Consider the following 23055-nt stretch of genomic DNA (forward strand, 5'->3'; position numbering starts at 1 on the left):
GGGAGGCAGAGGCGGGTGGATCACTTGAGTTCAGGAGTTCCAGATCAGCCTGGCCAACATGGTGAAACCCTGTCTCTACAAAAAATACAAAAATTAGCTGGATATGGTGGCGGGCACCTGTAATCCCAGCTAATCGAGAAGCTGAGGTTCGAGAATCCCTTGAACCTGGGAGGCGGCGGTTGCAGTGAGCCAAGATCCCGCCACTGCACTCCAGCCTGGGCAATAGAGCGAGACTCTGACTCAAAAAGGAAAAAAAGAAAAAAGGAGAGAGAGGAGTGTTTATTTCTGTAATAAATTTACTTGTTAATTCTAAACTATTCTTTAAATTAAATGTCAGCTGATTCAATTTGTCAAATCTTGGTTTCCATTACTGAAGATGAAATACTCACTGCCTAAACGGTCTTACCTGCTCGTGTTTGAAGCTAGGCAACATTTCAGGCAGCATTAACAGTTTGTCTGTTGGGACTAGAAGCTTCCTAACGTTGTGCATGGAATTTTTCTTTATGAGGGTGTTGTATCCAGATACCAAGTTTTAAACCCAGTATCTACTCTATACAGAATGTAACCAAAGCAGACTTACATAACAAGTGAATGTGGCCATACAGACATGAAAAAGTGACTTCTATCTTTTGATACCAAACTAGAAAGAGAAAAGCAAGTTCAGAGAACACATTATGACTCATCAAAGTCCAAAAAGAAAAGCTGCGTGTGAACGTAGCACCCTGTGCAGCCTCCTGGAGTCCTTTTACCCTCCAACCACATTTGCTTTTGTATGATTTTCTGCAAAACAAAACAAAAAAAACCCATCATTTTCCTCCTTAACTTCAATTGTTAAATTTCGTTTTACCTCAGAGGTGAAACTCATGCTATATGTTCTACAATCTTCTTTTTGTACCAAGTGAATGACGCTGCCTTTTCATTTCTCCTGTGTTGAGGCCTTATTTTATAAAATTCGTAACTGCTAGGGTACAAACTACAAACAAGACGAATTTTTAGAGGAACAACTTGAAGGGTGATGGGGGAAGGTGGTGCTTTCTTAGACCAATGCGAAGGGAGAGGGAGATGCAATATCTATATTTAATCTCTGTTCCCAACGATGTATTTTAATTCCCATAGCTGTGTGTATACAATGCGTGGATACCAACGCCTCCAAGGACAACATCAAAATTTTATATGAGCTGAAGAATATACACATATAACAAAGGGAATGTTTTCTTCTTTACTTTCCCTGTGACAAAATGCCAGAAGGAATGGACAGTTTCTTTCTCCAGGGACTTACTAATTGATTTGTTTTTGTTTTTGTTTTTTTGAGGATTTGCATGGCAAGTGGAAGTAGAATCTTAAGGGGATAAAGGGCATTTATTCACAAGGGAATAAAAGTGAAGTTATCAATTTCTGAAAATTGGCATGTGAGGCCGGCATGCCAGAGAAACAAATTAGACCCCAAAAAAATTAAAACCTAATACTCTCAATGTAATAAGCATTGCTATTAGGTTAAATCTCTTTATTAGAGACAGGTAGGTTATCTGGCTATATTATTAGTTGCGACTTATTAGGCAGTTAGAAGTTAGTATTTATGTTACACTTTTACTATACTACTAGTCTTGTTTAAAATTTCTCCCTATATATTTCTCAGTTAATAGTTATACCGGCATATCCTCAGGCAGAAAAACAAGTTCTTACAATGGATCCTTCAGGGCACACTATATTCTATTTCTCTTAGCTGTGTTATCTTTCGTTGTCTTGAGGTTCACTTCAAGATAGACAGAAAATGATGAAGCTAAAGTTAACAAGCAAGTAGCAAGACCTTAGAAAGCTATAGGGTGGGTGATCACCAACACTCCCAGCCATCATGAAAATGCTGCCCTAGTGGGCTCTGCTTCAGCCAGCAGTGGACCAGTGATATAAAGAATTCTTGCTTCTTAATGACTACATGGCAGTATTTGGCGTTCTTTCCATTACTTCTTGTCTTCAACTTATCCAGCCTGAAGTTTTAAGCATCCTAGAACTGCATTTCAGACCCAGTTGCTCAAATGGAGTCAATTTTGCAACAGTAAAATGGTCTTAAAATAGGATTTTACTCTAGGGGGAAGAATCCTCAACCAGATAGTCACAGTGCACTTTGAATGACTAATTTAAGCCATTACATTACGAAATAAGGGATAAATCATACTTTTCATAACACTACTGCATAGGAACAGTTTTAAGAGTCAAGCATCTACATTAATCTGAGTCTAAAATAATAGGCCCCTGATTTAAAGTCTCCTAACATTCTTTCACACTTCATAAAACTAAAAATAAAATTGTCTCACCAAACACCGACCTATTGGTCCGGCCAAAGTACTGTATTTCAAGGAAAATTGGAGCAAAGAGGTCTCAAAACCGCGACTTGCCAGCAAATTACAATTTGCAGCCTTAATTGGTCTCAAATGCGGGGTGAGAGGGAAGAGACTACGGTCTGTAGAAAATAAGAGATTTATTCCCCTTTTTAAATCAAAACCAGATTCCATGCTTCAGCCGCCCCCTAACCCGCCAGCCCCGCCCCCAGGGTTTGTTTTTCCATATTTTTGTATATATTTTAGCGAAGATGGCAGGTGAGGGAAGGTTATAGTGCTGTACCTAGTCCACGAAGTAAACAGAGAGGTTAGGGTGGGTTTACTTATTTATAAGGCGTTCAGCCTCTCAGCTGTTTCTCCCTCGTTGGCATTTGGAAGCTTGCAGTCCTTCAGGGAAGAGACAGATTTGGCAGGAACGTTCTTTGTGCCCGCCTCCCTTTTCTATTTTTTATTTTTTTACCTGGAATAGGGGGCAGATTTATAATGACAGCCTTAGGGAAGGGGGAGAAAAAGTTTCAGCCGGCACGACAATGCCCGTTTTTTCCACAGTCCACACTGTGCCACAAACAGCTTTGGTGCCACTCGGAGCCCGTCCCCCGTCCCCTCCCTCTCTCTCTGCAGGCTCGCACTGGCAGGCGGAGGCACAGTTAAATTCCAGCACCTTCTCCACATACCCCCGAACTACTACGCGCTATTACTACGGCTGCCCTCCGTTTTCGCTTCGCCTCCTCCCCTTCCGCAGTCTCCCTGGAGGAGCCCCGCGGCGCCCGAGGAAGAGGACTGCCAGGGAAGGGACAGCGGGCGCCCAGCTCCAGCAGGGCTTGGGGCTTTCTGCATCCCGCGCAGTTTCTCTGCTCCAGGCACAAACGCGGCCCGAGAGCCGGCGCCTTGCAGTCACACACGGATCCACGCATACAGTAGAGCTGTCTAGATCCACATTCTTGCACACCGCCCCCTCCTCCCCCCGCGCTCCCGGAGTCGCTGAGCTGAGCGAGTGACAGGCGCGTCCCGCCAACCCGCGCCCGGACGGGCAGGGAGGAGCGGCGCGCGGGGCCAACTGCGGCGCGTCTTCCGGCGCCCGCGGAGGAGGCGAGGGTGGGACGCTGGGCGGAGCCCGAGTTTAGGAAGAGGAGGGGACGGCTGTCATCAATGAAGTCATATTCATAATCTAGTCCTCTCTCCCTCTGTTTCTGTACTCTGGGTGACTCAGAGAGGGAAGAGATTCAGCCAGCACACTCCTCGCGAGCAAGGTAAATATAACTTACAACTCTTTTCTCCTCTTTCCCCTCCCTTCGGCCGCCCCGCTGCAGCCGCCGCTCAGACCCCTCCGGCACCACGCCGCCTTCGCCCGGGATTATCCATTATTATCCTAATTATTATTTATTGTGCATGCAAGGAGACCAAAACAAACAGGCGGGCCAACCGCCGCGACAAAAAAAAGCCCGCCTCCTCCCCGCGGGCCTCAGGTGGAATGCTCTAACGACAGCTCCCAGGCGGCGGTGGAAGAAACGAGAAAGTTTCAACCGAACCTTGCTGTTCTAATAATAACAGTAATAATTACTACTTCAAGGGGGCAAAGGAGGAAAAAAATCCCAACAAGCCACAGCCTTGATCCTGAGTGGGCAGTCAGAGGCGCTGCCAACTCAAGGTTGCAACACACACATTGGGCCAGGTTGCAATCCCCCCATCCCCTTAAAAGTGAGGCGGCGGGGAGGGGGGTGGCCGCAGGAGGGGGAAGGCCTGGGGGACAGGGGAGGAGGATGGAAACGCTACTGTTCATCCCGGGCAACCCTCCCCGGAAGAGTTGGAAGGGGAACGGGAAAGGAGGGCGGGGAGCCCAGGCTGGCGGCGGGGCGCCAACGGACGCTGTTGCCACCCGCTTCCCAGGGACTTGTTCAAAGGGCTCCGGCTGCGGAGACGTGAGCGGATCGCAGCGGGAGAAGCCTGAGCTGACGCGCGAAGGAGGTAGCGGCCACTGCCGCGGGGCCGGTGCGTGCCTGATCGGAGGTGTCACCTCCACTTTCCGCGTTTCCTCCGGCGTGGATGGGGAGGCTGATTGGTAGGCAGGCCTTTAGGCAAAGGGGCTGCCAGGGGGCTGCGCCCCGGGCGCTGCGGACGTCCCTGCCTCTGGTACCTGGCGGCAGCGCAGGCTCGGGTGTTAAAGTTCGGGATGTCCGGCCCGGGCCGCACTGCTGGAGGGAAGGGAGGAGGCCCCCAAGGAGGTCGGAGGTGCCCGCCAGCCTCCGTTACCCTGCCCTCCCTCTCCCCGGGTCCGTGTTCTTTTGCTTCGCGTCTTCCCCTTGCTTGCGCCGCGGGAGCTGCGGGCGTGGGGCGCCTGCGATCGTCCGGGTGCTAGGGGCGCGCCGGGACCCAGGAGAGCCACGGCGGCGGCTGCGGGCCCGGGAGGCCATGATCCGGATAATCCTGTCTGCCTGACTGTCACAAACAGGACCCGCGCACCACCGGGCAGCGGCGGTGTGGTTCGCCCGGGAAGGGGAAGGGCTGCGGTGGGGAGGGAATAGGGGGGTGGCGAGGGCGGGAGGCGGGGAGACCGGGTAGGAGCCTCCTCCCAACGATGACACGCACTCCTTCCTTCTCGCTCCCTGCTCAGGAGTTTGCTTTATTCCCATCCCAACCTGGTTTACCCCTTCCTTTGCTCTCCCCCTCCACCCGGCCGTCTTCCCTTCCTCCCGTTTGCGTTGCAAAACACGGCCATGCCATCTGCAAAGGTGTCGCGATGCACTTCCCTAAATAACCGGTCCGGCGCGCCAGCCCCTCGGCGCCCTCCGGCCGCAGGGCGCACACGGAGCACAGTGCTCCCGGTGCCCCGCACCAGGCCTCGCAGCCTGGGTGCAGTTACACGGCGGAGGGCGGGGCGCGGCAGTGCGGGCTCCGGCGGACACCCGCGCCTTGGCCGGGGCACTTGGGCCGGTTTCCGGTACACGCGGGGAAATCGCCTCCTGCCAGTGTCTGATCGCTCGCCTCCGCCTCCGCCTCTGCCGCCTGGATTGCATTATTATTTTTATCCGGGTTGCCGTTTGCTGCGGATGGTGGTGAGCGCGGGGCTGGCTGGGCTGCTTGGGGGGTGGGGTGGAGGGAAGTTGGACGTGGATCAGGCAGGAAAAAAAAAGTTTGGCAGGGCGGCTAAGTAGGGTGGAGGGGTGGGAGGGGGCTGCGAGCTCCCGCGGCTCCAGCCTCCGCGCCCTCCCGGCCGGCGCGAGTGTGTCTGCGCGTGAGTGTGAGTGTGAGTGTGTGTTGTGCGCGCAGGAGCCAGTGCGTCGGGAGCAGCGGCTCGGGCAGCTGCTCCTGCCCGCACCCTCCCCTGGAGCCCGGGGAGGACAAGGCGAGGTTTGGTGGCGAGGGCTGGTGGGGGTGGCGTGTGCGTGTGGTTGTGAGTGTGTGTGTGTGCGCGCGCGAGCGGCGGAGAATCAGGAAGTCACAGCAGCGAAGCGCACACAGCACACAGACATGTTTGATTGCCGTGACATGACGCGCGCGAGGGAGGAAGCGGCAGCGGCGGGGGCCGGGCCGCGGGCTGTGGCGCGGGCCTAGAGCCGCGGCTCGGAGACCGGTTCCCGTCCGCCGGCCGCGCCGCCACCCCAAGCTCCGCGAACCCCGCGCCCCTTTTTGTTCCGCGTCCTCCAGGTAAGGAGCCTGCGCAGCCCTGCCGCCGGCTGTGTGCGGAGCTTTCCAGTTCTTTCCCTGCCAGCCCCCTCCGGTCTCCCGGCTCGCCTTTCCTGCAAAGTCAGGCAGGCGGGGGAAATGGGCTCCTTGTCCTCCGATCGATTGCGTGGAAAACTTTCCAGCGGGAGGCACCATGAGGGGGAAGAAGGCCTTGCTGGCCGCTGTTGCTTGTCAGTTCTTTCTCCTCCGGGTCCGGAGAGTGTGAGTCGCTGCGCCCGGGGCTGTTGCACATTCAAACTTCGGGCCTAAACGTACCTCCAACTCTCGCAGGTTTTACTCCAGCAATAAAATAAATATTCAAAGTCGTCCACTAGCTCTTGCTAGGCGTTTGGATTTTTTAAGGGAATGAGGAAGGCTTGGGAATCGAGGGAGTGGGGGTGTTGTGCAGAATCCATTCCTTATTCAATGTCTGCACCGGGTGTTATGTAATTTTAGTGGCACATGGGTGCAAAGCCTAGACTGGGCTTCTCCCCTCCTTTGTTTATATAACTTTTGGGTGAGTTTTGCAAGGTTGTCTCTTTTTTTTCCTCCTCCCTAACCTGATGGAGGTTGGTGCTTTGGAAAAAGCAAAGCGACCTGGGCTAGTAATCTTTTGGAGAGGTGTCATCATTGTCTCCTTTCTGGTCATTATGTAGGCATGTATGACTTTGTATGTGTACTGTTAGAGCTCAAGGAAGACATTAAGGATACACAGTTTGTTGACTGCACTGAGCGGTTATTTTTAACATTTCTGCGTTACCAATATCGAATTTCAAACTTCCATTTCAAAGGACTTAAAATTTACACCTGGTTGTGTGCCTTGCTTGTCTGAACAGAATGCTTGCATAAATAATGAGATTGTTGCTTGGGCGTTGAGTAGCAGAAAATTTCTATCCAACCACCAAAGACTCAGAAACCATTGAGAACCCTAATAATAATTTAAAAAGCCATACCCAATGTTATGTGTGTGTATACTTACATATTCACATTCAAATATTTTCAGTAGTATTTTCCATCTGTTATCAGGGGGGCCACAACCAGAAGCTTGTTGGCCAGCATTGGAGTTTTAGGCTTCCAGGCTACCTCTAGCACACTGGTGAAGTGTTAAGAGGCGTGGCAGATTTGAATCCTAGTTGCTGCATTGTTATGCAAAATGAGACACACTTTTTCTTTGAGGAATCTAATTGCTCTTTTATTCTCTTGGACTTTCTTTCTTTTTTTCCTCAAATGCTTCTTTACAATGCAAATGTTTGCTATTGTAAAGAGGGGATTTAGAGACACCTGTTAGGTCCAAAAGATACTTATTGCGGTAGACTGAGGGGAAAAAAAAAAACAACCCAGTAGATCAGAGGTCCGTCTACCTTGGGGGCATCAGAGAGATGCCATTTTTGTAAAGAACATTTCAAATGAATGAGGAATGTGGGGTATCAGAACCCTTGAAGAGGGTGAGGGGAGGGAGGGCTTCCTTCAATGCAGCCTTTCTCTTATGACTTATATCAGTAACAGCCCAGCATCAGGACTAGGTGCACTGTGGTGTTTCACAGAAAATATTCACCACAAGAGCATGTTCAAAGCAGCCTTAGATCTTTTCTTTTGTTCGTTTGTAAAGTGGTTTTTGAGCATTTCTCGTCAAGTTTCTTGAAAAGTGCTTTGACCAACACCTGAGGCTTAGAATTGACAAAAAAAAAAAAAAAAAAGTGCCTCGGCTTGTATTATATTGTTAATGCTTGAATTCTATTTAAAGTATTCCTGACATGGTATAACTAGAAAGTGACACTTGTGCAGATAAGTATTTAAAATTTTTTTCTTTTATTAAGTTTAAGATAAATCATTCTACAGGCCAGTATAAAAGCATATCACATCCTTTTCTAAAAGGTAATTGTGATGCTCCTTATATTGTTGTAATATTTTGACATTTATTATTATGTATTACAGCAAGAGCATAAAAAGAAGAGTTTTATAAATTATAAAAGTGGTGCTGTCCTCCAGTGTTTTCTTGTTTTTTTTTTTTCTCCTTTAGAAATCTTCCTTTGTAAACAAGGCCTTTGTCAAACTCTTCTAGGTCAGCAGCTTTTTGATACCCCAGAGAAATAATAAATCACTATTTATGACATCTTGACATGGTGCCATGAGGACAACTGAATTATCACATATGTAATACTAAGGACTGTTTCCCAGCATTTGCAAGTGGAAGGAGTGTTGGTAGGACCTGATTTAACCACTTTAAGATTTGATTCTGTTTCTGGTCAAGATGATTTAAGGGACGATAGGGACAAATTCTTTGGTTAACTTGAGTTACCTTAGAAAACTATATGAGTTACATTTCTTTTCTGCTGTATTTCTTGTGAACAGATGAGAAAATTTCCCTAGTATGAAAGCCACATTTAGGGGCTATTTCTGATTTCTCCTTTTTAATGTAAAAGAATTATCTTCTAAATTGTTTTTTTTTCCCCCTTAAATATTGTGTTTTGGAGATGTCTTTGGCCAATAGAGGATGTGAATTTTCTGTCATTTTTGGAAGCGTTCTTATTAGGGGACTCTAACCTTTAGCCGGTTAATAAAGCCATGGGTCATTCGCTAAGTAGTGAATAGAAAATACACATGGTGGTAATTTATTTGATAGCATATTTAGGAAGGCCTGGAGTGATTATTTTTTCTATATAGAAACTTATGACTTTATACTTACTAGGGACTATAGGAGTCTAAAACTATGTTCTGCCAGAGTCATTATGAAAGAGAGCATATTTATTTACGTAAGATATTTATCATTAAGTTAAATGGGATCTTGCAACCTGGGCTGGCAAAACTGCAGCTTTCTTACTGTTTATTATGAGTTTATTATTACCCATGTTAATATAGCACTTTTCCTTGAAAGTGTAGGATATGTTAAAGAGAGCTTTTAAGTAGTAAAAGTTATAAATATATCGTCAAAGATGCTTGAATAATTGTACCTCAGAAAAACATACAATAGAGCCAATGAAATTCAGGAACAAAATAGCTGGTCTTTTGAATGTTTGATATAAACACCTCATTAATTTACACATTTGGAGTGATGGTTTAGATATGGAATACAAGATTTTGGCCTGAAACTCTGACATAATGTCCTTCTGGACTTCTGGGTTTGTAATACATTATTATATAATTGAAGCCTAGTATGAATTAGGATATTTTATTAGATAGCTACGACTTCCAGAATATTTGAACAATTGTAATCTGGCCGTATACCTGTAAGATTTACAACAGTTTTTAAAACCACAATATTCTATAGTATTTTTAGGTGGATTAGTATCAATTTAAGCATCAATCTTATGCCAGTATGTCATCTACATCTATGCAAGCAGTAATATTTTAGAAACTTTTTAGAAACTGGCCTAATTTAAATATGGGCTGGCCCTTTTGTAAGTTGATGAATGGGACCCACAGAAGTTGAAATAATATTTAAAGTTTGAAAACCATTAAATATAATTGAAACTCCCTCCTTTAAAAAAAACAAAAACAACTAAACTCAGAATTTGGAATTCAAAATTACTTAAAAATGATAAAAATCTCTAACCAAAAAGGAACGTCATATGTTGGCTTACAGGTTATCCAAGGGAAATTCTGTATCAGTTTGCACTTAAACTGTATTTTTCTGGTTCAGGATGATTATATATTTCTTTACCTACTTGATGTGGTATATTTCAGTTTTTACCATCCCACTGGGAGATGCTTTATCACACATGGATATTGGATGTCCAGAAGGAAAGCCCTCTCCCATCTTCCCCCCTGTGCTTTGTTGAACTGGACATGTAATAAATGGCTTTGCAAATAGTCACAATTATTTTGTGGCTTGCTGTTGTGCTATACTAAAAGACCATTAAGCAGAGTCCAAAATTCTGTAAAAAATAGATGATCTGTAATTGATAATTTATGTGTCTTAAAGAATGTACCTGAACATTTAATATTGTATTTATAATAGCATATTGAATACAAGTAACAAATGGTAAACTGCATGGGCCATGTGATACAGAGAGAGAGATCAGGGTGAGCTTTCTTGAGCTGATGGGGTAGATAAGGTCTTTGAGATGGGATAAGGTTGCTGTAGGGGGAGGGCAGAGGTGGGGGTGGTGGCATCTGAGCATCCCAGATCAGAAGAAAGCCCCGAGATCACAGAGACCCGGCGAGATCACAGAGACCCGGCCTGAAGGAACGTGGAAAGACCAATGTACCTGTTTTGACCGGTTGCCTGGAGCAAGAAGTTCCAGTTGGGGAGAATTTTCAGAAGATAAAGTCGGAGATTGTGGAAAGACTTGACTTGCAGGTTAAAGCATGAATATTTTATCCAATCTGTATTGGAGGCTTGTCTCAGAAGTTTTGAACAAGGGAATACATGAACAAAGCAATATTTTAGATTAATCTGGCAAATTGTGGATTCAAGTCCAGAGTGGGAATTGAAGCTGTTAGAAGGATCCTGGCAATAATGCGAGCATATAGTAGCTCACAAGGTGTCTTCATATCTCATATTTTATTTGATTCGTATCAAAATTGAAGTTGTAGTCAGCTACTGTTATGCCTATTTTGTAGGTAAGGAGCTTGAAACTCAGAGAGGTTAAATGAACTCATTTGTTGATTTTTTAAAAGGCATAGTAACATCATTAATGGCTATTATCCATTTTAACTGCAATGAACTTGGAGTTCATTGTTGAATTGTTGTTGCTACTGTGAAAGTCAGGGCCAGTTGACATTAATGAGTGCCTATGATAGAACTTTAGTTCATTCAGCATATGATGGTTGAGTTTTACTCTTCAGTAAAAATGTGCCATTTTAACCACAGGTTTTTAAAGTATGTATTTCAGACTCTTCTTTTTATATGTTTAAAGTATAAATAAACTTATCTTGGCAGTCAGAAAAGGAAGTGGCTGTTGTTGATTCTTATCAACATCCAGAATGAGGTTGCTTTGCAAAAGGGCCTAACCTAGGAGAGACAGGCATATGTGTAAATATACGTGACATATTACCTTTCAGGGTGTCATGATTTGAAACTAACTTTTTTTTGTTCAGTTTGTTAGCTTTTGTTTTGACCAGTTTGCCCAGCCCTTTGGGTTCCACTGAATTTTAAAAGTGATTTTCATCTGTGATTACCTTTATAACTACTAATGGACATGAGTCTCAGAGTAGAGGATGCTTTGCTCTAAAGGGTTTCTAACACTTAGGTTTTCTCGTAAATTCCCTTTTTAAAACAATTTTTCCTTTGTGGGATCACTGTCAGTCCTCATGGAAGAGGCCATGAAATTGCATCGCTGGTAGACTCTTTTGAGATGGCAACTCATGGTATCTATAAGGGTGGTAATGTTAAGAGCCAGGATCCTATTAAGGCAGTGTCTGAGGTTCATGGGGGACTAATTAGCTGCTGCCGAGTTTGTTGTTATCTTTTGTTGTGCACAGAGCTGCCTCACAGCCTTTGCCAGGTCTGACTCTGGGCAAGGACCATTCCCAAGGCAGTTTATTTAAAGTGAGGGTAGCAGCTCACCCACATCCTAATTTGTTGCCCTGATTGAAAGATGAAGGAGAGTTCACAGAAGCCCAAGGAACAGAGCAAAGTTTTAATCTAACAACTTTTAAAAAACATATTTGACTTTGAAACGAATGGGAAAGTGTTGTGAATAACCCCAAGAATGCTGAAGAAATGTTCTCAGTGATTTTCTAGGGTCTTGATGGAGCAACTTATAAGGTTAACTTTAGAACCCGGTGTGATTTGTATCTGACAGATCACATTATGCATTGTTTAAAGTTGCACAGCTCAGACCAAGAAGCAGTGTGGGCCTTGGTAATGTTTCACCGCTTATCCCGACAACCTTGGCCTGTAAAAAGGAAACTTCGGGTAGATTTATTTCCTTTATCTGCATTGCTGTTCTCCTTACCCACCCCGCACTGCTTCCCCATTAAGAATAACAGTGCTTGAGGCCCAGTTCTGAAGATGTTGCTACTTCTTGTGGGTGAATTATCAATTCATTTACAGAGAAAGCCACATACAAAACAAGAGGCAGCCCTTCAGGTCAGGGGAGATGTTCTGAATCAGCAAACAGACATAAAAAGAACTCTTATCTTAACTATCTCCTGAACCTTGCAGTTCTCCTGTAACAGCCAGAACACTTTAATAAGACTGGGATATTCTTGGAGATGTGGACTGGGCCTAACTTTTATTTCTGATATTCCACCTTTAACCTGGACCTCCAAGTTTTTCTGTAAAGTGAGCTGTGAAAAAAGACAGGCTGGAGATCCAAGATTTCCTTGTGCTTTCTTATGAAGTTTGGTGAAGAGCAATTTAAGAGATATTGTCAAGGTTGGTGTGCTGCCCCAAACTCTGCGACTAGAAACCAAAAGTTTCTAGGGAACTTTTTTTCTTTTTTTTAAACTTGAAGGCCTTGCTGAAATGCTACCTTCTCCATTACACTTTACCTAATTCCTTTCTCTCCTGTAACCTCTGAGCTAAAGGTAATGTCTCCCATTCTATGACTGTGTTGGATAGTTTGGCTGTACCCCTCCGTGTCCTGCAGGATCTTTCAATATTTTTATCTTGTTGCTACTTACGCACAAGTCTGATTTCCGTATCAGACTTCCAGAGTTGTGGGGTAAGCCTTCTATTCATTTTTGTACCGCCTGCATGCCTTGTACCTAGTAGATACTCGGTATGGTAACTAAAACATCATCGACCTTTTCAGTTGATGACATGGTCTTCTTTTCACATTCCAGGGCTTCTCTTTACTTCTCTAGCCTGTGGTAAGTTAATATATTATCACAACCAAAGCCTAGTCCTTGCAAGATATCCCTTCCACTGTTTCTGACCTTTTTTTCTTTGGCTTCTACTTTCTACCCCTGCACATTGCTCTGGCCTGGTGAAAACTCTGGTGGAAACATGGCTTGCTAGATCCGTGTCATAGCTCAGTGTTGGGCTGGGAGTCAAGGGATAAAAGATTCTGCCTGCGGTTTCTCTCCTGTTGCAGATGTTACTTTGGGCAAGCCATGTTTTCCCCTTCTGCCTTATTGCCCTCATCTTTTCAATGGCGTTGTGGCAAAATGTCTCTTCAAATCACCAGAATTATTAGGAAACACATGTAGGTGTGTTCAAATATTACTCCACATGTGGGGGTCTTTGGTGTTTCTGTTGGTTACAATTAGACTGTAAGACACAAGTTTTGTCATGGTTGGAGTGGTGACCCTTAAAATTCCATGAAGTTGAACTCCTTTTAATATGCAGATGGCTGTGCTGAGCCTTTCAGCTAAGGGCAGAGGAGATTTGGGCTGAGGGAGGATGACTGTGGTGTTTGGAGCTCTGGCAAGCTCCTCTGGGGCCTCTTCTTTTTAAAAACACACACTCTCTAGTTGTGAATGTAGGAAAGTGGGAAGTAAGGACGAAATCAAGACAGAGTATACTGCTGAGAAATTCTTGCCTAAGAACATAGTGGTTTGGCCCTCGGGGAGTCCTGGTCTGGGGGAGGGTGGGGACCAGCAATGCATGTGTATGGGGAGGTTGCTGTGCCCCCCTCTCCCCAGATACATTTTTGTCATTATGTTTTTAGCCACAGACACATAGTTGTGGAACAGGTCGTTCTTTTCTGTGACAACGGGAAACTCCCTCCTTCTCCTAACACAAAATAAAAATAGATTTTGTGTGTTATTATGTGAGCAGACCTACCACTGCCCTGTGAAGTCCATCTGGGCCCTCTCCTCCAGCCCACCCTACTATGCTTACTGCTGTCGTCACCACCCTATCTCTATTGTCTCATTAGTGCTTTGGAGAAGAAAGGGGTAGAGAGTCCAGGGGATACTGGCAGGGCTGGTGAGGGAGAAGTGGAGTTGGCCAATACTGGACTTTAAACCTTAACCATACTAACTTAGTAATGATGTGCTGCTTGAGACTAGCACCTCTTTCTAATTTATTTCCCCAGGTTTCTTCATACTGTGGGAAAGTTTAATTACATACTTGAACTGTAAAATAAAATTGCCACCCGAAATGTAGAGGAAGAATAAGAGGCCAGGATTATAGGCCTCATCTTAGAGAGTCCTCCCCTTGGGTTTACTTGGGTGATGGTAGCCACAGCAGATCCTAGGGCAGCCCTGATTTTGCCTTGGAAGTCCATTAATGGACTTTCCAACACACAGGTTTGGATGAAGTCTTCAAGATGCTCTGGAGGCAGCAGGCATCAAGTCACGGATGGACAGCTGGAAGGGACCTTTGAGATACTCCTATCCTGAGCCTAGAGGAAGTCAGGACCCCAGACGAAAGGCACTTTTCCCAGGGCCCTAGAGTTGGTGGTGACCCTGAGACCAGAACCCAGGTCTCTCAGCTCCCAGTGAGACATCAGTGAATATCACGTCACGTTCTATGAGAGTCCAGATCTCTGCCATTCATTAGTTATATGGCACAGGGTACATTTCTTCATTTGTTAAACTGTACTGTTAGTCTGAGCCACACACATGCATTGAAGTCCAGGCATCTGAGGTTCTCTTCTTATTAAATAGTTTCCTATATAACACGTTCCTATATTAACATTCCAATTATATGCCCGTAATTTTCCACTTCCCTTCCAACATGTTTTCCCTCTAAGACGTTTTTAATAGTTTCCTTTAGCAAAAAAAACGAGGAGCATTTTTATGGGACTATGTATGAGTAATTACAACATTCTCTGAGATTCCCAGGTGGAAATGATAATGCATGTGGAAAGTAGCATTATGGGCTAATGTATATTAGAATTTCATGTTTAATATACATCAATTATATTAAACGTAGGAATATCAGCCTAACTTCAGTGTTTGTATCTTCATTGTTCAAACTCGTGGTATATTACTTTAATACCTATTGAAGCTGATTTCAGTGTAAACCATAACAGGAAGTAAGCAATTTCCTTTTATTCACTAAAAAATAAAAGGGTGTATTAGTGTGCTCATATACATGAAAGAGCATTGTATCTTGTAGTAGCCCTGAATCGACGTCAGCTTCCTAAATTTAAAATGCTGACTGAACCTGTGTGAGGTGGTGGAAAGCAAAAAGAAAAAAAAGTTCCGTCTGCTTTGTTCATCACAAAGAATAAATAATAACATTGGGCTCTCTAGTGAATTCAAGGCTGTAATTCACTGTTGAGGCTCCCCTGTTGTTTAGAAGCCACTTGTACTGGGTTCCCTTAGTCCTGTTTTGATCCCCTGCTTATGATCACTCTGAAGTAGCCTTTGACTGCTTCCTGTTTCAGCTCTAATTTACTTGTCAAAATGGCCTAAATTCTTGCCTACACTTTAAGGATTTCTTTATGGGAACACAACTCAAACACTGATGACTCTGTGGTTTTTATTTATAAAATTAACTGAAGCTGGCTACAGTGGCTCACACCTGTAATCCCAGCGGTTTGGGAGGCTGAGGTGGGACGATCACTTGAGGCCAGGAGTTCAAGACCAGCCTGGGCAATATAGTGAGACTCTGTCTTTACAAAAGATAAAAAAAATTAGCTTGGCACGGTGGCGCCGCCTGTAGTCCTAGCTACTTGGGAGGCTGGTTGGGGAGGATCACTTGAGCCTAGGAGTTTGAGGCTTCAGTGAGCCATGATCTCTACTGTCCTCCAGCCTGGGCAATAGAGAGAGGCCCTGTCTCTAAAAATATGAAAAATTAAAATAAAGTTAAAATTAAAAAGTTGATTTTATTAATAGTTGGCCCTTGAAATTTACTCTGCAGTTGATTCATCAGATAATTTTTGAGCTATGACTATATGCTGGTTGAGGTGCTGGGAACGTGGAAGGGAAACTGAGCATGGCCTGCCTTCATGGCCCTCATACTCTAGAGATTCAGTGCAAGTGATGGGTCGCTAGGAGTGGAAAGAATGTGTTTTGTGTACTGCCCCTCCAGCCCGCCATTCCACTGTGGGTAAAGAGCCCTGCTATGGTGACTAGGCCACCACGGTCTCATTCCATCTCTGCCACTAAACAATGGGTAAGCAAATCACTTAGGGTATGTCATTCTGTATTTTGTGAGGCTGACAGCAAAAAGTTTCTCCATGTACAGATGTGTGCCTCCAAGGTAACATCATAATATAGAACAATTACTGTTGCTAGTGGAATTCAGCTATCTTGCCGGCATCATTGATCTCTATCAGAATGTGGAAAACAGCTTATTTGCTCATTCTGGCTCATAGCCAAGATGCAGTTGTACCCACTCTATGAGGCATTTCCAATGGGGATGCCAAGAAGCCTTGGAGTGTGGGTGGTGGAATATAGTTCTGCTGAAATTGTAGAACCAGAATTTCCACACCTCATCTGTGGTGAGCTCTGATCCAGTAGTCATGGATGACTTCTCTCAAGGATTCTTGACCAGAGCCAGGTCTGGGACAAATCCCTGGTTTTAACTGTCTGAGGGGGTCTCTGCTTCAATTAATTAGCTGGCAAGAGGATCACGTCTTAAACTGTCCCTCCTGATCACTTCTGGTAGGGTGGAGTTGGTGGGGAAAGTAATGCTAAATAAGGGTGGCCGTTTGTTGTGCTGAGACTACAGCTGTGTTTTTCACACATGTCATTGCATTGAAATCTCAAAAGAAGAAACATTAAATAACGTAGCTAGTAATTACATATATGAGTATTTGAACCCATATTTGTCTGATTCCTATAGCCTTTGCTTTTTTCATGATTGGGACTTCTCTTTCATTCTCAAATTAGAAGATTGTATTTTTCCCGGTTTAACTATCTTGAAGTTTTGAATGCCCACTCACTTATGAAAATGAGTCTTGGTTGGATACTTTTTAAAGGGTTCTGTATTTTAATGGCTTTGTGGGGGTTAATGTCTTGTAAGGTGTCCAAGGTAGTAAGTAATGGAGAGCATCTGTTGACTTCAGTAATAAATTTCAAACTTGTTTAGAATTCTGCTTATGTGTTAAATTTGAGTTTCTCCAGTGAGTCCTTTTGTATCTTAGATGATTTATATTTTTCTGGGGAATCATTTAGTGTGTGTGTTTTTTTTAAACAAGTGGTCTTCATAAAGACTAGGGCAGACGGATGTATATCACACTCACTCAAACATCTGGACTAGACAGGGCAGCTCTGTTTGATGTTTGTTACAGAAATGGCACCATCAAATGCTAACAATTGTTTTATTCTGGTCTTAACATCATGTTTAAAACATGCCTTCCTTTTTTCTGCTTTTCAACTTAGCATTACTCTACTGACTGGCAGAGACAGGAGAGGTAGATGTCCACGCCCACAGACCCTGGTGCGATGCCCCACCCAGGGCCTTCGCCGGGGCCTGGGCCTTCCCCTGGGCCAATTCTTGGGCCTAGTCCAGGACCAGGACCATCCCCAGGTTCCGTCCACAGCATGATGGGGCCAAGTCCTGGACCTCCAAGTGTCTCCCATCCTATGCCGACGATGGGGTCCACAGACTTCCCACAGGAAGGCATGCATCAAATGCATAAGGTAAGAGTTTGTTCTCCCATTCAAACTCAACTTCTGATAAGTGGATGGCTAATATTTCTGATAACCCCATCCCCCTTTCTACTGTTGTTAACAAGAAAATCATGCAAGATCTTTGTCTTGTATATCTCATATATTATTAAAAACGCATATTGTGAGGTACTTTTATTGCTACAGATGTTGCATCAGTTATGAAGATCAGATGTTGGCTTTTTAAAATACTGACATAGACTATGCAGTTCTGATAAGTAGATCCTGTGATTTGTGGGTTGAAGGTATTTTTGTCTTGGTGAATTAGTACATTAGTCTATAAGTCTTATTTTTTCCTATCTGTGTTAAGTAACTTATCCACTAATGAACATACTGAAAATTATTCTTTCCTAAAAAGGCTGACATTTATTAACAAAAATTAGATCCCAAAGAGTAGAAGGAAAAAGTCCTTATCTAAAGGATTTTTTGGAAAGGGCTTTATTGAAATTAAATAGTTTCTAGGGAATCCTTAAAATGCACATTGCTGTCTCTCTGTGAAGCACTTTTATTCTGGTTTTGGAAGAAGGTTCTGATTTTTGCAGAGCTCACGTCCAGCTGTTTATTTCTGGACTAAGGTTGTAATTATCCTTTATTTATGAGGCTTGGATTGTTGCTGTGGGGATGATCATATCTGTACAACTTGGCATTATGCCTTCACAGGAGATGCAAAGAAGAGAGACAGCCTTTTGAGAAAGTAAACAAGATCCTCTGTGACAGTTTGCTTTGAAAGTAAGCAATAGCCAAGAAAAATCTATGAGGACATTACATACTACCTGAAGGTTTTGCCTAATGAGACACGTAGAGGTTTTACACTCCTTGGGATGATATCACAGGTGGATAGGGTGGCAGGGCTGCTTCTTGACATTAAGTAGGTGTATTCATTAGGATTCTCCAGAGAAACGGAACCAATAGGAGATAGAGATATATGTAAAAAGAGACTTATTATGAGGAATTGGCTCACACAGTTATGGAAGCTGAGAGTTCTATTATCTGCAGTCACCAATCTGGATACCCAGCAGAACCTGTGGTATAGTTCCGGTCTGAGTCTACAGGCTCAGACCTGAGCCTGAGAACCAGGAGTTCCAGGAGAACTGATGATGTGAGTTCCAGTGATGTGAGAACCAGGAGAACCAGGAGAACTGATGATGTGAGTTCCAGTCTGAGTCCAAAGAGCCAGAAGAGTCAGTGGAGTAAGTTCAAGTCTGAGGGCAGGAGAAGACCCAGCTTAAGCAGTCAGGCAGAGAGAAAGCTTCTCCTTTCCTCTAGCTTTTTTTTTTTTTTTTTTTCTTATTCAGGCCCTCCATGGATTTTGGGTGAGGCCCACCGACATTGCTGGAGGCAATCTGATTTATTCAGTCTAACAATTCAAATGATAATCTCATCCAGGAATACCCTGACAGACATACCCAGAAATAATGTTTAATCAAATATCTAGGCACCTGAGGCCCAGTCAAGTTGACACATAAAATGAACCATTACAGTAGACAAGCCGTGGAAGATCCTGGCTTAAAACAAAAAGATTACCACAGAAAAGAGCAAGTCTTTCCTCCAGTTACGTAGGACTTTAGGTCAGTTTTAGGGTAGGGCATCAGAGCCCAAAAGGGAAGATCCTTTTGTTAAAAGTGTTGTAATTTGATGATTTTTCAAATTAGGAAAGTAATATATGGTTATTTTGAAAAGGAAAACAATACTGAGATAAACAGATAATCTTACCTTCACCCCAAGTAACAGCTTGTTGTACATGCTTTTTCTATCTTGCTTTTCTGTATGTTCATTACAAATACTGTGTAAGCACAGATATGTATATATTGGTGTTTTTTTTTGGTTACTTTTCTTTTGCTATTATAGAATCATGTTGTCTCTGTTAATTACTCTGTAACTTTCTTTTTTCATTTAACAATGTATTATGGATATCCCTATGACATTCTCTAGTTTTCTGTCTCCTCTTTTTAACAGATACATTTGTTAGCTTGTCAGAGATCTAGAGAAATAAAGCTGCTCGTTTTCCATGTCATATTTTTCAGGGGACCTATTGAACATATTGACATCCAAGTCCTGAAATTGTTTTCTGTTTAGATTAAATGAATTTGGGAGCTATATTCTGGATCTGATCAATGACTTGTAAACCTTCCTCTAAGTGGCTTACATAATTTCAGAATAATTTGAAGGTGTCTCACCTTCAAAATGAAAGATAAAATGTGAGGGAAATACTTAGCTAAACTTTATTGTTCTTTAGCAGTTAAAAATTCAATGTGTGAGTGTTGGGTCAGTGTTATGTTTTTCTCCTGGATTGTTTTTATTAATTGTTATCTCTTCTGATCCCTTCATTTTATGTCCTAGCATTTTTATTACACTTTCTCATATTCTCTCTACCCTCTTAAATACTCCCTCTTTTTGTTTTGCTTTGCTCGCATTCTGTGAGTTTTGCATTTTTTGCCATCCTGCTTCTCCTTGGCCCCAGCCCCTCAGATAGTTCCCTGCGTGAGGACACGGGTGAGGGTTTAGAGCTCACACCTGCTGACCAGATGCCTTCACTTTTTTCTATGCTTTTTATAGGCAGTTTTATTTCTTCTCTTATTCTTCCTTCTTCCTCTGAGGCTTCAGCTTTTTGCTTTTCAACATTACTGGAAATAAATAAACAAGTGGCCTAAATACATCTGCTGTGTTGCTTTGATTTCCTCTCTATTATTACTATTTAACAGACTCAGTGACACTCTTTATACCAGATTCTTCCCATTTTTCTTCCAAACATCCTCTTTATGATACATTTTTTCCTCTTTTCAAGTGCATACTTTTGACTCTGCAGAAATTAACTTTCTTTTCTCCAAAACTGCAAACACTCATACTTTCTTGCTTGAAGTCATTTGGTTTCTATAAACTCCTGGAAATATTTCTTTCAGGCTGTTTTGAAAATTGCTATTACAGTTTGGGGAGGAATAGACTTTTCCTTTTTCAAACACATGCTTCATTGCCCAATTCTGGATTGGATTAATGTCGATTCAATAGCTGTTTATTGCATGTCTGTCACGTATTATGCCTCAAGTTTTGGGTCCAGCCCCTGTGTTCGTTTATTTCCAAACTGTGCCTTTAACCTTTTCCGTTCCTCCTCCCTCTGTAGTACAGCTTTATCTATTGCACACACTTTCCTTTTCAGTATTCACCCCCCATTCACGGCTCTGTCCTGTCTGTTCCTCTCTTTCCAACTGCCATGGAACCCTGTGGTTTCAACTTTCAAACTTTCCATGGTTCCTTCCCTTCCAATGAAGAAAAATTACCAAAAACTGGATCATCACAGATGTGTCAAACAGCCTTCCTTCAGACTTCAGACTAACTTCAACATATAACAGGTTTCAAGATTACTTACCAGGGTATGGAAAAATAGCCTATATTTGTCTACCTTGTGACCAGGACTTCATTTTCATTGCCTGTTCTGATATTACAAAAAACAAACAAACAAACAAACAAACAAAAAAACAACCCTCCACTGTTTAAAGACTTAACATTTGACTTACAGATAGTTTGCTGATCCTTTTGGTCTAGTCTCTTTTTTTAACTCTAGAATGGGTAGTAGATGATAGTGCCACACTTTTAAAGAACTTAGGAAGGGGTCTGAAAACTCCAAATAGAAATATTTTACCTTATAGAGGTGTCTAACTAATGTCCTTTAAATGTTTCAGCCCATCGATGGTATACATGACAAGGGGATTGTAGAAGACATCCATTGTGGATCCATGAAGGGCACTGGTATGCGACCACCTCACCCAGGCATGGGCCCTCCCCAGAGTCCAATGGATCAACACAGCCAAGGTTTGTGTCCGCTGCACACCTGATACTGGTTCCCCAGCATAGTCTTTCAGTCTTTCCTGTTGGATATTTTAATTATGAATTCCAAAGAATGTGTCTAAGGAAGGTTGAACCTAGTAGGTTTCTTTTCCTTATGGAAATCTACCTCCGTCCTCACCAATACAACCTGATGATTTATATGGGAAATTTTATTTCCGAAGTCCTAGTAATTTTACTAGCCACCATGTGTCCAAGCAGTCTGCAAAGAGCTCTATGTACTTTATCTAGAATCTTTATCGTGATCTTTTAGGGTAAATTAGGTTATCCCAGTTTTATAGATAGAGAAGATAAAGCTGGACAATTTACTTTGTTTTGCTAAGTTTACATGTCCAATCGGTGACAGGGCCAGAAAGAGAATCTAGGCCTGCTTCCCAGCAACAGTGTAGATGTGAAGGTAAGGTGAACCACCTGTGTCCCTTGAATTGCATGCTTATCCATTGTCTATAAGGCAGCTTTATCTGGCAGTGAAATTATGTGTCATTTCTGGTGGGTGGCTGGGCCTGCCATAGCAAATTACCACAAACAGAAATGTATTCTCTTATATAATTCTGGAGGCAAAGTCTGAAATCAAAGCATCAGCAGGGCCATGCTCTCTCTGAAGGCTTTAGAGAAGTATCCTTCCTTGCTGCTTCCTAGTTTCTGGTGGTTGCCAGCAATCCTTGGCATTCCTGGACTTGCAGATGCATCACTGCAATCTCTGCCTTAGTATCCACATGAAATTTTTCCTGTGTGTCTGTCTGTGTCCAGATTGTCTTCTTTTTATGGGGGCCATTCATTGGATTAGGGTCTTCCCTAATGCAGTATGGCCTCATCTTAATGTGATTACATCTACAAAAATACTGTTTCAGGCCGGGCCTGGTGGCTGAAGCCTGTAATCCCAGCGCTTTGGGAGGCTGAGACGGGCGGATCACGAGATCAAGAGATCGAGACCATCCTGGTCAACATGGTGAAACCCCGTCTCTAGTAAACATACAAAAATCAGCTGGGCGTGGTGGCACATGCCTGTAGTCTCAGCTACTTGGGAGGCTGAGGCATGAGAATCGCTTGAACCCGGGGGCAGAGGTTGCAGTGAGCCGAGATCGCACCATTGCTCTCTAGCCTGGCGACAGAGCAAGACTGCGTCTCAAAAAAAAAAAAAAAAAAAAAAAACTATTTCAAAGTAAGGCACATTCCCAGGTACTGGGGGTTAGGACTTCAACATATTTGGAGGAGGGGGAACACAATTCAACTCACAACAATGGCTAAATCAGTATATGGCATATTTCTTTTCTTCTTCATACGTAACAAGTCCTCTTTCTTTTCTTCACTGGTGAAAACTATTCACGTACCTCAAAGCCTTTTAATACAATGTAGCCTGATTTCAGAGTCATTATGTGGTCATTTCAACATATGACGGACATGAGTTAATCTAGCACTAATTAAAATTAATATGTAGTTATTCCAATTCAAGGTTTATGGTTTATGCGTTGCTATATATAATCCTGTGTAATTAATGTGTGTGTTTCCTCTATCCATGATCAGCTATCCATCCACTCGAGGGAAGACTTTTGGCTGTGAGGATTTAGAGAAGTCTATGCACAGTTGTTTTCTTTTTGAAATATAAATAGGCAAGTCATGGAGGCATAGGAGTGCCTCCCCACTAGTATTTGAACAGGCTTTTGAACATCCCAGACTCTTATCTGAATTTTGGTGGCAGGCAGGCATAATTGTTGCAGATAACTCATAGAATCTTGACCATGTCAGAAGAGCAGCCTAA

At 43.4% G+C, this 23055-nt stretch overlaps 1 protein-coding gene across 4 annotated transcripts in view, besides 10 other annotated features; it reads left to right on the forward strand.

Moving 5' to 3' along the window:
- Nucleotides 689–818: an enhancer, noted in NCBI's record as "active region_28132". NCBI's record gives its function as "activates an Ori minimal core promoter by ATAC-STARR-seq in GM12878 lymphoblastoid cells {active_cell/tissue: GM12878}" and the evidence as "EXISTENCE:reporter gene assay evidence [ECO:0000049][PMID:35858748]".
- Nucleotides 3029–3078: an enhancer, noted in NCBI's record as "active region_28133". NCBI's record gives its function as "activates an Ori minimal core promoter by ATAC-STARR-seq in GM12878 lymphoblastoid cells {active_cell/tissue: GM12878}" and the evidence as "EXISTENCE:reporter gene assay evidence [ECO:0000049][PMID:35858748]".
- Nucleotides 3139–3188: an enhancer, noted in NCBI's record as "active region_28134". NCBI's record gives its function as "activates an Ori minimal core promoter by ATAC-STARR-seq in GM12878 lymphoblastoid cells {active_cell/tissue: GM12878}" and the evidence as "EXISTENCE:reporter gene assay evidence [ECO:0000049][PMID:35858748]".
- Nucleotides 3239–3578: a silencer, noted in NCBI's record as "silent region_19728". NCBI's record gives its function as "represses an Ori minimal core promoter by ATAC-STARR-seq in GM12878 lymphoblastoid cells {active_cell/tissue: GM12878}" and the evidence as "EXISTENCE:reporter gene assay evidence [ECO:0000049][PMID:35858748]".
- Nucleotides 3529–23055, forward strand: part of SMARCA2 (SWI/SNF related BAF chromatin remodeling complex subunit ATPase 2) — a 178274-nt gene continuing 158747 nt past the window's right edge. For 3 of the 4 annotated variants that reach the window (NM_003070.5, NM_139045.4, NM_001289397.2), the window contains exons 1-3: nucleotides 3529–3586; nucleotides 17169–17429; nucleotides 21134–21263. In NM_003070.5, the coding sequence (NP_003061.3) occupies nucleotides 17205–17429; nucleotides 21134–21263 (355 nt within the window). In that variant the 5' untranslated portion in view covers nucleotides 3529–3586; nucleotides 17169–17204. Of the gene's footprint in view, nucleotides 3587–10126; nucleotides 10300–17168; nucleotides 17430–21133; nucleotides 21264–23055 lie in introns of those variants that run through there. The other variant, NM_001289396.2, reaches the window with a different exon arrangement.
- Nucleotides 3975–4531: an enhancer, noted in NCBI's record as "H3K27ac hESC enhancer chr9:2015793-2016349 (GRCh37/hg19 assembly coordinates)". NCBI's record gives its function as "activates a minimal SCP1, AML or CMV promoter by ChIP-STARR-seq in primed H9 embryonic stem cells {active_cell/tissue: H9 hESC(primed)}" and the evidence as "EXISTENCE:reporter gene assay evidence [ECO:0000049][PMID:30033119]".
- Nucleotides 4719–4888: a silencer, noted in NCBI's record as "silent region_19729". NCBI's record gives its function as "represses an Ori minimal core promoter by ATAC-STARR-seq in GM12878 lymphoblastoid cells {active_cell/tissue: GM12878}" and the evidence as "EXISTENCE:reporter gene assay evidence [ECO:0000049][PMID:35858748]".
- Nucleotides 5189–5298: a silencer, noted in NCBI's record as "silent region_19730". NCBI's record gives its function as "represses an Ori minimal core promoter by ATAC-STARR-seq in GM12878 lymphoblastoid cells {active_cell/tissue: GM12878}" and the evidence as "EXISTENCE:reporter gene assay evidence [ECO:0000049][PMID:35858748]".
- Nucleotides 5449–5638: a silencer, noted in NCBI's record as "silent region_19731". NCBI's record gives its function as "represses an Ori minimal core promoter by ATAC-STARR-seq in GM12878 lymphoblastoid cells {active_cell/tissue: GM12878}" and the evidence as "EXISTENCE:reporter gene assay evidence [ECO:0000049][PMID:35858748]".
- Nucleotides 7155–7753: an enhancer, noted in NCBI's record as "OCT4-NANOG hESC enhancer chr9:2018973-2019571 (GRCh37/hg19 assembly coordinates)". NCBI's record gives its function as "activates a minimal SCP1, AML or CMV promoter by ChIP-STARR-seq in naive H9 embryonic stem cells {active_cell/tissue: H9 hESC(naive)}" and the evidence as "EXISTENCE:reporter gene assay evidence [ECO:0000049][PMID:30033119]".
- Nucleotides 11736–11785: an enhancer, noted in NCBI's record as "active region_28135". NCBI's record gives its function as "activates an Ori minimal core promoter by ATAC-STARR-seq in GM12878 lymphoblastoid cells {active_cell/tissue: GM12878}" and the evidence as "EXISTENCE:reporter gene assay evidence [ECO:0000049][PMID:35858748]".

Source organism: Homo sapiens, chromosome 9, assembly GCF_000001405.40.
Source record: "Homo sapiens chromosome 9, GRCh38.p14 Primary Assembly".
NCBI classification, from domain to species: domain Eukaryota; kingdom Metazoa; phylum Chordata; class Mammalia; order Primates; family Hominidae; genus Homo; species Homo sapiens.